The sequence below is a fragment of the Homo sapiens genome, chromosome 6 (assembly GCF_000001405.40).
Source record: "Homo sapiens chromosome 6, GRCh38.p14 Primary Assembly".
In the NCBI taxonomy this organism is placed as follows: Eukaryota; Metazoa; Chordata; class Mammalia; order Primates; family Hominidae; genus Homo; species Homo sapiens.
Window position 1 is genome coordinate 47,495,643 of NC_000006.12, and position 14,235 is coordinate 47,509,877.

At 41.3% G+C, this 14,235-nt stretch overlaps 1 protein-coding gene across 3 annotated transcripts in view, besides 3 other annotated features; it reads left to right on the forward strand.

The window, feature by feature from the left end:
* CD2AP (CD2 associated protein) overlaps nucleotides 1–14,235 on the forward strand; it is a 149,475-nt gene that overhangs the window by 17,854 nt on the left and 117,386 nt on the right. For all 3 annotated transcript variants that reach the window (NM_012120.3, XM_005248976.2, XM_017010641.2), the window contains exon 2: nucleotides 7,638–7,798. In NM_012120.3, coding sequence (NP_036252.1) covers nucleotides 7,638–7,798 — 161 coding nt within the window. The remainder of the gene's footprint in view (nucleotides 1–7,637; nucleotides 7,799–14,235) is intronic.
* Nucleotides 1,122–1,691: an enhancer, noted in NCBI's record as "H3K27ac-H3K4me1 hESC enhancer chr6:47464500-47465069 (GRCh37/hg19 assembly coordinates)". NCBI's record gives its function as "activates a minimal SCP1, AML or CMV promoter by ChIP-STARR-seq in primed H9 embryonic stem cells {active_cell/tissue: H9 hESC(primed)}" and the evidence as "EXISTENCE:reporter gene assay evidence [ECO:0000049][PMID:30033119]".
* Nucleotides 1,692–2,260: an enhancer, noted in NCBI's record as "H3K27ac-H3K4me1 hESC enhancer chr6:47465070-47465638 (GRCh37/hg19 assembly coordinates)". NCBI's record gives its function as "activates a minimal SCP1, AML or CMV promoter by ChIP-STARR-seq in primed H9 embryonic stem cells {active_cell/tissue: H9 hESC(primed)}" and the evidence as "EXISTENCE:reporter gene assay evidence [ECO:0000049][PMID:30033119]".
* Nucleotides 5,462–5,669: a silencer, noted in NCBI's record as "fragment chr6:47468840-47469047 (GRCh37/hg19 assembly coordinates)". NCBI's record gives its function as "represses an EF-1alpha promoter that drives an FKBP-Casp9 reporter gene in an ReSE screen in K562 erythroleukemia cells {active_cell/tissue: K562}" and the evidence as "EXISTENCE:reporter gene assay evidence [ECO:0000049][PMID:32094911]".

Below are 14,235 nucleotides of genomic sequence, written 5' to 3' on the forward strand. Positions count from 1 at the left end.
GTAGTTTGCTCTGTGTCCTCAATTTTCTAATGGGTCCAAGGAAATTAAATGATTTTCAGTTGGTTTAGCCTTTTTCTTGTAAGGGTGGGAGTGATGACTTTAAAGCTTTTTACTTGTTGGAGCTGAAACTGCCAGTTGAGTATTTTAAAAATTTGTTTGTTCTTTCTCCCCACAATTTTTGGCGTTTTTATGCTTTTTCTGTTATTTTAGTGATCACTACATGCATTCTCAACTTATAAAAACCTGATGTTAATAACTTTACTCTCTTATACCATACAAGGATCTTGGAACAATTTTAACTCCCAACTTTGTTACTGGTTCTGTTATTTTAATTTTTCTGTATTTTTAATTTCCTATATGATGTTACTGTTTTTATTCATTTGGTGTTTTTATACCTGTATACTTACCACTTCTTTTGTTTTTCCTTTCTTTTCTACATTGCTGATACTTCATATTTAATCTTTTTCCTTTCCTTTGCTGTTCTCAGAGAACATCCATCAGAGTTTTCTTTTTGTGTAGCAAAGTCCCACTTCTGGCTTGTCAGAAGTGTCCTTATTTTTTCTTCTTTTTTAAAGGATATTTTCTTGGGTGTAGAGAGTTTAAGATTTGTAGGTATTTTCTTTCCACACATTTAAGATACTAATCTGCTTCCTTCTGGCTCCCATCGTTGTTGCTAAGTCACCCATTAGTCTGAATGTTGCTTCTTTGATAACCTTTGTTTTACGATTTTCTTTCCTCTTTGTCTTTCACTTTTTGCAGTTTAATATTACAAACTTAATTATGAATAAGTTTAAAAGAGCAGGGAATTTAACCCTATTTACCATATGGCATTTTCTCTAAGGGAAATAAAATAGATTTTCTTTGAGTCAATGAACTTCTTAATTATCACAGATGTATGCAGTTATGTGGTGCTATAAACATTTTTGCTGTAATATTGAACAAACCACTTTAATATTTACTGCTTAAAAATCTTGTCAAAGTAATTCCTGCACGTGATATACAAATATAAAAAATACTAAATGACTTACAAACACTATTTCCTTGCCTCATTGTTCTCTGCTTCTATTCTCATTCTCCATAGGGAAACCACTGTCTAAATCTATCTGTTTTAATGTTTTGGCTTTCATCTTTCTAAATAATTAGTTTCTGTTGTTGATTTTGGTTTATTTTTAACTTGAAAATATTTAGCTTGCTTATTTATAATCTCATGTTTTCTCTTTATCTGAACATAGTAAGGGTTTATACTTTTATTTCTTTTTCTAGCAACTAATAGTGTATTTGTGGACTTAGCACTTTGTATGATAATGATATTCATCCCTTTACTCTTTCCTTTACGAACCTCCCTCTCTCAATTCTTTTTCGGAATTATTATCCTTTATAATATCAAGGCTGTTAACATTTCTATTTTGTTCTACAACCATAATTTAGTCCTTTTGTTTTGCTGTACGATAATTTGATTGTCAAAGTTAAAATAATTACTTTCACATTATTATGACCATGTCGTGTTTTTTTTTTACTGTGAAGCCAAGTAGTACATATGATTATATTTTTCCTTTCCCCTTTTTGCTTTCCCCTTTTTCCTTTCCTTTCCTTTTCCTTTTCTTTTTTCCTTTCCTTCCCTTCCTTTTTTCCCTTCCTTTCCCTTTTCCTGTTCCCGTTCCCTTTTTCCTTTCCTTTCCTTTCCTTTCCTTTCCCTTCCCTTCCCTCCCCTTCCCCTTCCCCTTCCCCTTCTCCTTCCCTGTCGCCTTCCCTTTTTCCTTTCCTTTCTGTCCTTCCTGTCTTGATCTGTTGCCCAGGCTGGAGTGCAGTGGTGCGATCTCTGCTCATTGCAGCCTCCACCTTCTGGACTCAAGCCATTCTCTCACTCAAGCCATCCTCTCACTTCAGCTTCCCCAGTAGTTGGGACTGTAGGTGCGTTATCATTACTCCTGACTACATTTTTTTGGTATTTTTGTAGAGATGGGGGTTGCCATGTTGCCCAGGCTGGTCTTGAACTCCTGGGCTCAAGAGATCCACCCACCTCAACCTCCCAAAGTGTTGGGATTACAGGTGTGAGCTGCAACTGCACCCGGACAATTATATTTTGAGCATTTTACAGTTCTTTGCCTTTCCAAAAGTTTCTAATCATCTTTAGTTTTTTGTCCTTAACTGACTTTCTTGTCTCTGAGTTCCAGATTTGTAAGGATAGCATACAGTTTTACAGTTTGTGCCCCATGCTGCTTTTCTCTCAGATACCTCCTAGAACTTTTTGTCTCCCGTTTAGTATAGACTGTTTGTTCCTTAGATTTGTTGCGCAGCTGCAAATTTAGTACTTATTTTATTCTGAGGTTGGTGCCACTATTTCTTGGATTTCATGTCTTCCTCTGTTTTGGTTCATATTTTAATTTTGCGCAGCTGCAAATTTAGTACTTATTTTATTCTGAGGTTGGTGCCACAATTTCTTGGATTTCATGTCTTCCTCTGTTTTGGTTCATATTTTAATTTTGCTGGATAACATTATGTAATTTCATATGTGAGAGTTAATTTTCTTTATTGTTGCATGTGTGAAAATGTTATATCCTATGCTTGCCTGCTGATTTGGCAGAGTATGCAATTAATTTTCCTTCAATACTTCAGTGACTTTTAATTTTTCTTTTTCTAGAATCCAGTATTGCCAATGAGAAGTGTTCCAAGATGATTCTCAATCTTTTGTAGATGAAATTTTTATTTCCTGTCAGAGAGCTTTCTAGGATCGTTTATTGTTATTATGAAATTGCACCGAATATGAATACGTTTTAAAATTTGTTCATTTCATTGGATTCTCACAGACCTGTTTCCATTTGAAGATTGTTTTAGGATTATTTTCTTGTATTATTTCATGGTTAATTCCCCGTTTTTTTCTCCTTGAATTTCTGTTAATTGGATGTTGGATTGATTGGGCCTTTTCCTTATTTTCATCTTTTTCTTTGTGCCTTTGTTTTACCTGTTTTGGAACATTTTCTTGGATTTATCTCTGCCTCTTCAAAAAACAGTAAGATACTTTGGAAGACATAAACTTTAAAAACTTTTTAATTTTCTCACTTCTTATTTTATAGCATTCTGTTCTTTTAGAAACTTTACATCTCTTGAGGATATACATTTGTGTGTGTATTTTAACTTTTTAATTTTGAAATAATCATGAAGTTGTAGAAATGTTAGATGTATAGTACAAATCATTTTTTTCCTGACTGATATCTTTCATCCAAGTATTTTAGTGTGTATTTTTAACAAACCAGGACCATATCACAATACAACCATAACATTTAAGAAATTAACATTGATTTGTAATCTGTATGGACTCATGGCTTATTTTATTCGATGGGGTATATTCTTTTAATTTCATTATTTTGATGCTCAAAATGTCCTGATTTGGCCAGTAAGAACCCTTTTGATATCACTTCTGTGGGTCAGTTTGATACCATTTCATTTTTTTTGATAACTTCCTTACTTTCTGGCACAACAAAATGTTCCAGGCTAATCTTATACTTTTCCTGCTTAGCCTTGGAATTGGCCATTTTCCTAAAGAGTCCTGATTCCTTTTAGTAGTAGGTGGTATTTATGAAGTCGTGGCATTTGGTTTTCTCATTACCATTGGGATGTTGCTGGTTTCAGGTCCATTAGTTGGACAGAGCTAGGGTGTATGTGCATGTGTGTGTGTGTGTGTGTTGAATATATGTGTATCTGTGTATACATACATGTATACATATATCTGTTTATTTCTCCATGTTACGTATTGAAAACTGTTAAGTTCATGCTGATACTGCTTATTACAAATCAGTATCACAGGATTGAAAGTAGCTTTTTCCATATATGCTTGTAACTCCTTTCTCTGACATGGAGAAACTTGGCTTCCATTATCCTTCAAATATTTACAGTTTGATTAGTCTTCCTGCATGTAACCATTCTCCCATCTCTGTTGTTACTCCCCACCCTTACTTACCCTTTCTCCTGGTAGTTTTCCAGTTTATGATGGGTCTTTCATGATCAACTATTGTCTGCGCATTTTAAGAGTAAATAATAAATGAATAAAAAGCTAACTGGGAACTCTGTTTATGTGGGTAGGAGTTAAGAGTTTTGTTGTTGTTGTTGTTGTTGTTTTTGAGACAGAGTCTTGCTCTGTCGCAGTGGCACGACCTCGGCTCACTGCAACTTTCGCCTCCCGGGTTCAAGCCATTCTTCTGCCTCAGCCTCCTGAGTAGCTGGGACTACAGGCATATGCCACCACGCCCGGCTAATTTTTGTATTTTTAGTAGAGACTGGGTTTCACCATATTGGCCAGGCTGGTCTCGAACTCCTGACCTCAGGTGATCCACCCACCTCAGCCTCCCAAAGTGCTGGGATTACAGGCGTGAGCCACTGCCCCTGCAGGAGTTAAGAATTTTATTTTGGAATTAGCAAGTCAGGAACTGCCCATTGCTTTGGGGACCTCTACATTTCTCAGTATTCATTGCTCTGAGAAACCAGCATTCATCCATAATAGCTGTACTAGTTTTCCTAAGCTATTTTTTATTTTTTTGTAGATTAACCCTTCAGTTTTTTGCCTTGGAAGGAAAATGCCATACTATTTAGCATTTTATCTCGTTGAATTACTGTGGTTGATATAGAGATTGAGTAATTTCCCTGTTTTAGCCCTGCATGCATTTCATGTGAGCCTACGTTTTCTGAATTTCTGGTCTTTTTGAGGTCTACAGAGCAGTTTGGTATTTCATTTATAGCTCCCTTAGGTTCTCTAGGCTTCCTCTTCTTGGCTTTATCAGCTGTGCATCCCCTTTCAGACATTTGTTAAAATTTCTTGCCGGGTCCCTTATCATGTTGGGATGTTTTCAGCTGTAAATAGAAATCCTGTCTAAAATTTACTTAAACGTTAAGAAACTACTTCATGTAACGAATCTGAAGGTATTATAGTTAAAGGTGGTTAATCTAGCAGTTTGATGAATCCAGCAAAGATCCAGGTTATTTTCATCTTTTTTCTCCTCCACGTTAATTAAGTATCCGCTGTTTTTCTGGTCTCAAGTGGTTATAGCAATTGTAGGTATCAAATTCTCATTAAAGAACATCCAGAGTCTGCAGGAGGCCATTCCTTCCTTGGTTTTTTTTTTTTTTTGAGACGGAGTCCTGCCCTGTCACCCAGGCTGGTGTGCAGTGGCACAATCTTGGCTCACTGCAACCTCCGCCTCCCGGATTCACGCCATTTCTCCTGCCTCAGCCTCCTGAGTAGCTGGGACTACAGGCGCCTGCCACCACGCCTGGCTAATTTTTTATATTTTTAGTAGAGATGGGGTTTCACCATGTTAGCCAGGATGGTCTTGATCTCCTGACCTTGTGATCCGCCTGCCTCCGCCTCCCAAAGTGCTGGGATTATGGGCGTGAGCCACTGAGCCTGGCCTGTGTTTTGTTTTTAAAGTCAAATAAAACCTTCCCAGAAGAAAGAATTCATTCATCTCAGCTGGGCATGGTGGCTCACGCCTGTGATCCTAGCACTTTGGGAGGGTGAGGTGGGAGGATCGCTTGAGCCCAGGAGTTTGAGAGCAGGCTGAGTAATATAGCCAGACCCCATCTCTATTTAAAAAATAAAAATAAAAAGAATTCCTTCATCTCATGCTTATTTGAAAACCATTCACTGTGTATGTTTAATTGTATGTGATTAAGGTTGCTATACATAGACTATCTGTAGACCTTTGCCTCTTTGGCAGTTAGATATCCTGGCACCTGCTCAACTGTAGTTGGCATTTAAACAAGGTTTTTCAGCTGACCTGATTGTACTTAGTGTCTGAGAAGTACATACCTAGACTAGTGAATATGTAACTCCCTGGGGCTGAGAGAATCTTCGCCTGTAAAGTACAGGGTCTCAAAATACTGAACAGAATTAAGGTTCTATGAGAAAGGAAGGAGGGGAATGGGCAATGTGGGAATGGCACTTGGCTTAACAAACAACAGTGTCTGGTCATACTCACTTTCCTTTTTTTTTTTGGTGGTGGTGGTTGTGATTGTTGTTGTGGTTGTTGGTGTGTGTGTGTGTGTGTATTTTCTTTTTAGTCAGTCTTGTAGGAGGAAGAAAAGATGAATGGGGATATGGCTAGTCTGCTATCTTGAGCAGGAAAGCTGTTATTGCTTTTTAAAAATTGAACCTTGTAAAATATTAAAAATATGCTTATGTGATCCTATAATCTAAAATCCTGTTATTAAAAGAGGTAAAATAAATACATATTAATCTTCATTTTAGAGTTTGTTTTCTGTTTTTACATACAATAGTAACACAAACTTAGTAGTTTAGAACTATATATATTTATTAGCTAATAGTTTCTGTGGTTTAAGAGTCTGGGCATGGCCAGCTGGATCCTCTTCAAGGTTGCACTGAAGATGGTGGCCAGGGTTGGGTTCACATTTGGGGCTCTACTGGGGAAGGGTCTGCTTCCAAGCTCATGTGTTAGTTTGTATCATTCATTTACTTTTGGGTTGTTGGAGTAAGGGCCTCAGTTTCCTGATGTCAGTCAGAGACCTCCTTAAGTTGCTTGCTTGTGGCCCTCTCTATAGGTTGGCTTACAGCATAGCAGCTTGTGTCTTCAAAGCGAGCAAGGGAAAAAGTCTCCTATTAAGATGGGCATTACAGCCTTAAGTAATTACATACAATTCATTGTCTTTTTCATTATCTTTTTTTTTTTTATTTGAGTCTGTTGCCCAGGCTAGGCTCACCAATGCCTTGACCTCCTGGGTCAAGCAGTGCTCCAAAGTAGCTGGGACTACAGGTGTACACTGCCATGTCTGGCTGGTTTTTGCGTTTTTGTAGAGACGGGGTTTTGTTGTGTTGCCCTGGCTGGCCTCGAACTCCTGAGTTTTTTTTTTTTTTTTTTTGAGACGGAGTCTCGCTCTGTTGCCAGCCTGGAGTGCAGTAGCACGTTCTTGGCTCACTGCAACCTCTGCCTCCTGGGTTCAAGCTATTCTCCTACCTCAGCCTCCCGAGTAGCTGGGATTACTGGCGCCCACCACCATGCCGGGCTAATTTTTGTATTTTTAGTAGAGATGGGGTTTCACCAGGTTGGCCGGGGTGGTCTCCATCTCTTGACCTCGTGATCTGCCTGCCTTGGCCTCCCAAAGTGCTGAGATTACAGATGTGAGCTATTGCACCTGGCCTGAACTCCTGAGTTTAAGTGATCTGTCTGCCTCGGCCTCCCAAAGTGCTGGGATTATAGGAGTGAGACATTACGCCCTGCCATCATATTCTGTTGGTTAGAAGTCAGTCACAGGTCACATTGGCAGTCAAAGAGAGAGAATTACATAAGGACATGAATACGAGGAAGTGGGGATCATGGAGACCACCTCAGAGTCTGTCTGCTACAAAGGATATGCATGTGATTGTTAAGAGTGTCTGATGGCATGAATTATGCATTATTTTTCTTTTGAGGCTCCCACTTAATAGCTGTATTGTACTCTATATTAAGATATTCAAGAAATTTGCTGATGTAGCCAAATATTTAAAGTAATTGAAATCAGCCTTGCTGATGTCTTTGTGGTATTAAATATTGTTGCTAAACAGATTCCTTAGTTTTAAATTTATTAATATAGTTTACAGTATTTTGTGAATTAGATTTTAGACATTTCGTTTTTTCCCCCTTTTTTAGTTGACTATATTGTGGAGTATGACTATGATGCTGTACATGATGATGAATTAACTATTCGAGTTGGAGAAATCATCAGGAATGTGAAAAAGCTACAGGAGGAAGGGTGGCTGGAAGGAGAACTAAATGGGAGAAGAGGAATGTTCCCTGACAATTTCGTTAAGGTAAGTATTTTCAGTTAAATTTCTAGCTCTTGCTTCATAGGATTTAATCTTTAAATGTTAAGAAATAGATATACTTTTAAAATTAAAATGTTTTAGATAAATGTTTTCTTTGTAACATTTAAGAAAATAGAGTCCAGGTACCTCTATAATGGATATCATTGTTGCTCTGTGTCCTGCTGGATAGTAATCCTCTATGTATGTGTTTGTGTATATATGCTTGTATATGGTTGTGTGTATCTACCTGATTACTGATTGTTTTAAAATAAATAATAGTTTTCATTTGGGTGGCATTTAGTAATTTATAAAGCAGGCTTGCTGTATATATTCTCATTTGAGCCTACAGTATACTTGTGAAATAGTTATGACAGATAGTAGCCCCATTTTAAATATCTTGATATTTAGATTGAGAGGTTAAGTGATTTTGTCCACTGTTGGTTAGCTAAGACAAGAGACTTTGAACTGAAGTCTGGGACAGTTGCCTCGCTGGTCTTCTCATTATATTTTGTTGCTTTTCCAACAACAAAATGCATTTGGTCATACTTTTTGTGTTTCAGCATTATAGCAGTTATCTGCCAAACTGTCTTCTTCAACTACTACCAAACATTCCTTTTTTAGTAAGTATTCTAGTCGCTTCTGCCAGAAAACAATCTTTAGGGCTCTTATCAATTACAAACTTATAAAATTCTCAGTAGTTTAGAGAAGAAGAAAAAAAGTAAAGCATATCTGTGTATTTACACATCAGTTATAATTGTCTTGTTTTCTGTGTATTAGTTTTCTTACATCCAGCTTCATTCCCTGGCCTCATTAGATTATGAGCTCTTCTAGGAAGGTTAGAGTATGTATCTCATTTGCTTGTCCAGCTTGGACAGTAGTTGTTAGCAGAATACCTGCACAGAATGGATACATAGTTAATATTTATTTCTTGAATAAACTTGTGTTTATTTTAGTTGTGGTTTCACCTCCAAGTATGAAAACATACAGTTGTCTCAGTATCCAGGAAACACCGTGGATACCAAAATATGCAGATGCTCAGATCTGTTATATAAAATGGCATAGTATTTGCATATAACCTATGCACATTCTCCCATATACTTTAAATAGTCTCTAGGTTAACTTATAATACCTAGTAAAGTGTAAATGTTATGTAAATAATTGTTATGCAGTATCACAATTGGTGAGTCTGCAGTTGTGGAGCCTGCGGATGTGGAGGGCCGACTGTATTTTATTCTGCTACAGGGGTACCTTGGAGATACTGCAGGTTCAGTTCCAGACCACCACAATAGAGCAAATGTCATAGTAGAGCAGATACCTCAATAAAGTGAGTCACATGAATGTTTTGATTTCTCAGTGATGTAAAAGTTATGTTTACATTATACTGTATTGAGAGTGCAATCGCATTATATTAAAAAAAGCAATGTGGATACATTAATTTTAAAATATTGGTAAAAATTGCTAACGATCATCTGAGCCTTCAGTGAGTCACCATCTTTTTGCTGGTGGAGGATTTTGCCTTGATGTTGATGACTGTTGACTTAGTGGTTGCTGAAGGCTGGGGTGGCTGTGGCAGTTTCTTTTTTTTTTTTTTTTTTTTTTTTTAATTTATTTTTTTATTGATAATTCTTGGGTGTTTCTCACAGAGGGGGATTTGGCAGGGTCATGGGACAATAGTGGAGGGAAGGTCAGCAGATAAACAAGTGAACAAAGGTCTCGTTTTCCTAGGCAGAGGACCCTGCGGCCTTCCGCAGTGTTTGTGTCCCTGATTACTTGAGATTAGGGATTGGTGATGACTCTTAACGAGCATGCTGCCTTCAAGCATCTGTTTAACAAAGCACATCTTGCACCGCCCTTAATCCATTTAACCCTGAGTGGACACAGCACATGTTTCAGAGAGCACAGGGTTGGGGGCAAGGTCACAGATCAACAGGATCCCAAGACAGAGGAATTTTTCTTAGTGCAGAACAAAATGAAAAGTCTCCCATGTCTACCTCTTTCTACACAGACACGGCAACCATCCGATTTCTCAATCTCTTCCCCGCCTTTCCCGCCCTTCTATTCCACAAAGCCGCCATTGTCATCCTGGCCCGTTCTCAATGAGCCGTTGGGCACACCTCCCAGACGGGGTGGTGGCTGGGCAGAGGCGCCCCTCACCTCCCGGACGGGGCGGCTGGCCGGGCGGGGGGGGCTGACCCCCCCCACCTCCCTCCCGGACGGGGCGGCTGGCCGGGTGGGGGGGCTGACCCCCCCATCTCCCTCCCGGACGGGGTGGCTGGCCGGGCTGAGGGGCTCCTCACTTCCCAGTAGGGGCGGCCGGGCAGAGGCGCCCCTCACCTCCCGGACGGGGCGGCTGGCCGGGCGGGGGGCTGACCCCCCCACCTCCCTCCTGGACGGCACGGCTGTCCGGGCGGGGGGGCTGACCCCCCACCTCCCTCCCGGATGGGGCGGCTGGCCGGGCGGGGGGCTGACCCCCCCCACCTCCCTCCCGGACGGGGTGGCTGCCGGGCGGAGACGCTCCTCACTTCCCAGATGGGGTGGCTGCCGGGCGGAGAGGCTCCTCACTTCTCAGACGGGGCAGCTGCCGGGCGGAGGGGCTCCTCACTTCTCAGACGGGGTGGTTGCCAGGCAGAGGGTCTCCTCACTTCTCAGACGGGGCGGCCGGGCAGAGACGCTCCTCACCTCCCAGACGGGGTCTCGGCCGGGCAGAGGCGCTCCTCACATCCCAGATGGGGCGGCGGGGCAGAGGCGCTCCCCACATCTCAGACGATGGGCGGCCGGGCAGAGAGGCTCCTCACTTCCTAGATGTGATGGCGGCTGGGAAGAGGCGCTCCTCACTTCCTAGATGGGATGGCGGCCGGGCAGAGACGCTCCTCACTTTCCAGACTGGGCAGCCAGGCAGAGGAGCTCCTCACATCCCAGACGATGGGCGGCCAGGCAGAGACACTCCTCACTTCCCAGACGGGGTGGCGGCCGGGCAGAGGCTGCAATCTCGGCACTTTGGGAGGCCAAGGCAGGCGGCTGGGAGGTGTAGGTTGTAGTGAGCCGAGATCACGCCACTGCACTCCAGCCTGGGCACCATTGAGCACTGAGTGAACGAGACTCCGTCTGCAATCCCGGCACCTCGGGAGGCCGAGGTTGGCGGATCACTCGCGGTTAGGGGCTGGAGACCGGCCCGGCCAACACAGCGAAACCCCGTCTCCACCAAAACCAGTCAGGCGTGGCGGCGCGTGCCTGCAATCGCAGGCATTCGGCAGAGTGAGGCAGGAGAATCAGGCAGGGAGGTTGCAGTGAGCCGAGATGGCAGCAGTACAGTCCAGCTTCGGCTCCGCATGAGAGGGAGACCGTGGGGAGAGGGAGACGGAGGGAGAGGGAGAGGGAGAGGGAGAGGGAGAGGGAGAGGGAGAGGGAGAGGGAGAGAGCGGCTGTGGCAGTTTCTAAGATGAGACAACAATGAAGTTTGCTGCATCAATTTGCTTATTTAGTGAAAGATTTCCCTGTAGCATGTGAGCTGTTTGATAGCATTTTACTCATAGTAGATCTTTCAAAATTGTAGTCAGTCGTTTCAAACCCTCCTTCTGCTTTGTCAACTAAGTTTATGTAATATTTTGAATCCTGCATTGTCATTTCAACAATACTCACCGTGTCTTCACCAGGAGTAGATTCCAGCTCAAGAAGCCACTTTCTTTGCTCCTCCATAGGAAGCAACTCCTCATCTGTCCATGTTTTATCACAAGGTTGCAATAATTCAGTCACATCTTTATGCTTCACTTCTAATTCTAGTTCTCTATTTTCACCACATCTACCGTTAACTTCCCCCACTTAGTCTTGAACCCTTCAAAGTCATCCTTTAGTGTTGTGATCTGTTTCTTCCAGACTCCCATTAATGTTGATATTTTTAGCTCCTCTCATGAATCACAGATGTTATTAATGGCTTCTAGAATGGTGACTCTAGAAACCTTTCCGGGAGGTTTTCAATTTACTTTGCCCAGATTGAGCAGAAGAATCACTATCTATGGCAGTGATAGCCTTACGAAATGTGGGCTGGAATTTAGTGGGGCGATCTTGGCTCACTGCAACCTCTGCCTCCCAGGTTCAAGCGATTCTCCTCGCCTCCCTAGTTCAAGCGATTCTCCTTGCCTCCCCTTGGATTACAGGCTCCCACCACCACGCCCAGCTAATTGTTTGTATTTTCAGTAGAGATGGGCTTTCACTATGTTGGCCAGACTGGTCTCAAACTCCTGACCTCGTGATCTGCCCGCCTTGGCCTCAGAAAATGCAGAGATTACAGGTGTGAGCCACCGTGCCTGGCCAAAATGTATTTCTTAAATAAGAATACTTGCAAGTTGAAATACTCCTTGATCAATGGGCTGCAAAATGGATATTATGTTAGCAGGCATGAAAACAACATTCATCTTCTTGTACATTTCCAACAGAGCTCTTGGGTGATCAGATGCATCATCAATATGCATTAGTATTTTCAAAAGAATCTTTCTGCAGTAGGTCTCAACAGTGGGCTTAAATTACTCAATAAACCATGCTGTAAATAGATGTGCTGTCATCTAGGCTTTGGTTTTCCATTTATAGAGCATAGGCAGAATAGTTTTAGCATAATTCTTAAGGACCCTAGGATTCTCAGAATGGTGAATATGCAATGACTTCCACTTAAATTACCAGCTGCATTAGTCCCTAGCAAGAGAGTGAGCCTGTCCTTTGAAGCCTTGAAGCTAGGCTTTGATTTCTTTCTACTTATGAAAGTCCTAGGTGGTACCTTTTTCCAATAGAAGGTTTCATCTCCATTGAAAATCTGTTTAGCATAGCCATCTTCATCAGTGATCTTAGCTAGATCTTCTGGTTAACTTGTTGCAGCTTCTCTGTCAGCACTAGCTGCTTCATCTTGCACTATTATGTTATAGAAATGGCTTCTTTCCTTGAACCTCATGAGCCAACCTCTGCTAGCTTCAAACTTTTCTTCTGCAACTTCCTGACCTCTCTGTATTCAGTGAGTTGAAGAGAATTAGGGCCTTGCTCTAGATGAGGCTTTAGCTTAGGGAAAAGTTGTGGCTGGTTTGATCTTCTAATGACTCAAACTTTCTTTCTTTCTTTTTTTTTTTGTTTTTTTTTTTTTTTTTGGGACGGAGTCTCGCTCTGTTGCCCAGGGTGGAGTGCAATAGCACGATTTTGGCTCACTGCAACCTCTGCCTCCCAGGTTCAAGTGATTCTCCTGCCCAGTCTCCTGAGTAGCTGGGATTACAGGGGCGTGCCACCACGCCCAGCTAATTTTTGTATTTGTAGTAGAGATAAGGTTTCACCATGTTGACCAAGCTGGTCTTGAACTCCTGACCTCAGGTGATCTTCTTGCCTCAGCCTCCCAAAGTGCTGGGATTACAGGTGTGAGCCTGGCCTCACACTTTCTTCATATCAGCAATAAGACTGTTTTACTTTCTTATCATTGGTGTGTTCACTGGAGTAGCACTTTTAATTTCCTTCAAGACCTTTGTCTTTGTATTTGCAACTTGGCTGTTGGTGTAAGGGCCTAGCTTTTGGCCTATCTCAACTTTCAGCATTACTTCCTCACTAAACTTGGTCATTTCTAGCTTTTGATTTAAGTCAGAGATGTGTGATTCTTCCTTTCACTTGAATACTAGAGGCTGTTGTAGGGTTATTAATTAGTCTGATTTCAGTATCATTGTGTCTCAGGGAATAGGGAGCCCTGAGGAGTGGGAAAGGGTAGGAAATGACCAGTTGGTGGAACAGTTAGAAGACACACAATATTTATTAAATTTGCTGTCTGACAAGGGCACAGTTTGAGATACCTCAAAACAATTAAAATGGTAACATTAAAGATCACTAATCACAGATCACCATAACAGATATAATGAAGAAGTTTGAAATATTGCAAGAATGACAAAAATGTAATACAGAGACATAAAGGGAGCCCATGCCGTTGGAAAAATGGCATTGATGGGCTTGCTTGACACAGTGTTGCACAGACCTTCAATTTGTAAAAAAAAAAAAAAATTCAGTTATTTGTGATGTGCAGTGAAGCGAAGTGCAGTAAAACGAGGTAGGCCTGTAACTGTTTTCAGAGGTGAAGTAACTACACTTTATATTTTATCTCTTGAAACAACAGAGAGAGGCTATAGTAGGGAATTGAATATTTAGAGCAAGGTCACTTCATTTTTTGTTTTATGAATTTACTTCTTTTTTTGATCTATAATAGATTGTCATGCAGATACTATGGAAACTGAAGTCAGAATAACTGGATTTAAATGCAGTCAAGTTCCAGCTTTGCCCTTTGCTGGCAGTGTGGTATTAGACAAATCACATAATTTCCCTGTTTTCTCCACTTTAAAGTGGTATTTTGGCGGACTACAGTAAGATGGGCTCTAATACATTTTTTTTTGTAAAGAAAAATGGCTTTTTAGAGAAAATTTATTGCAGTT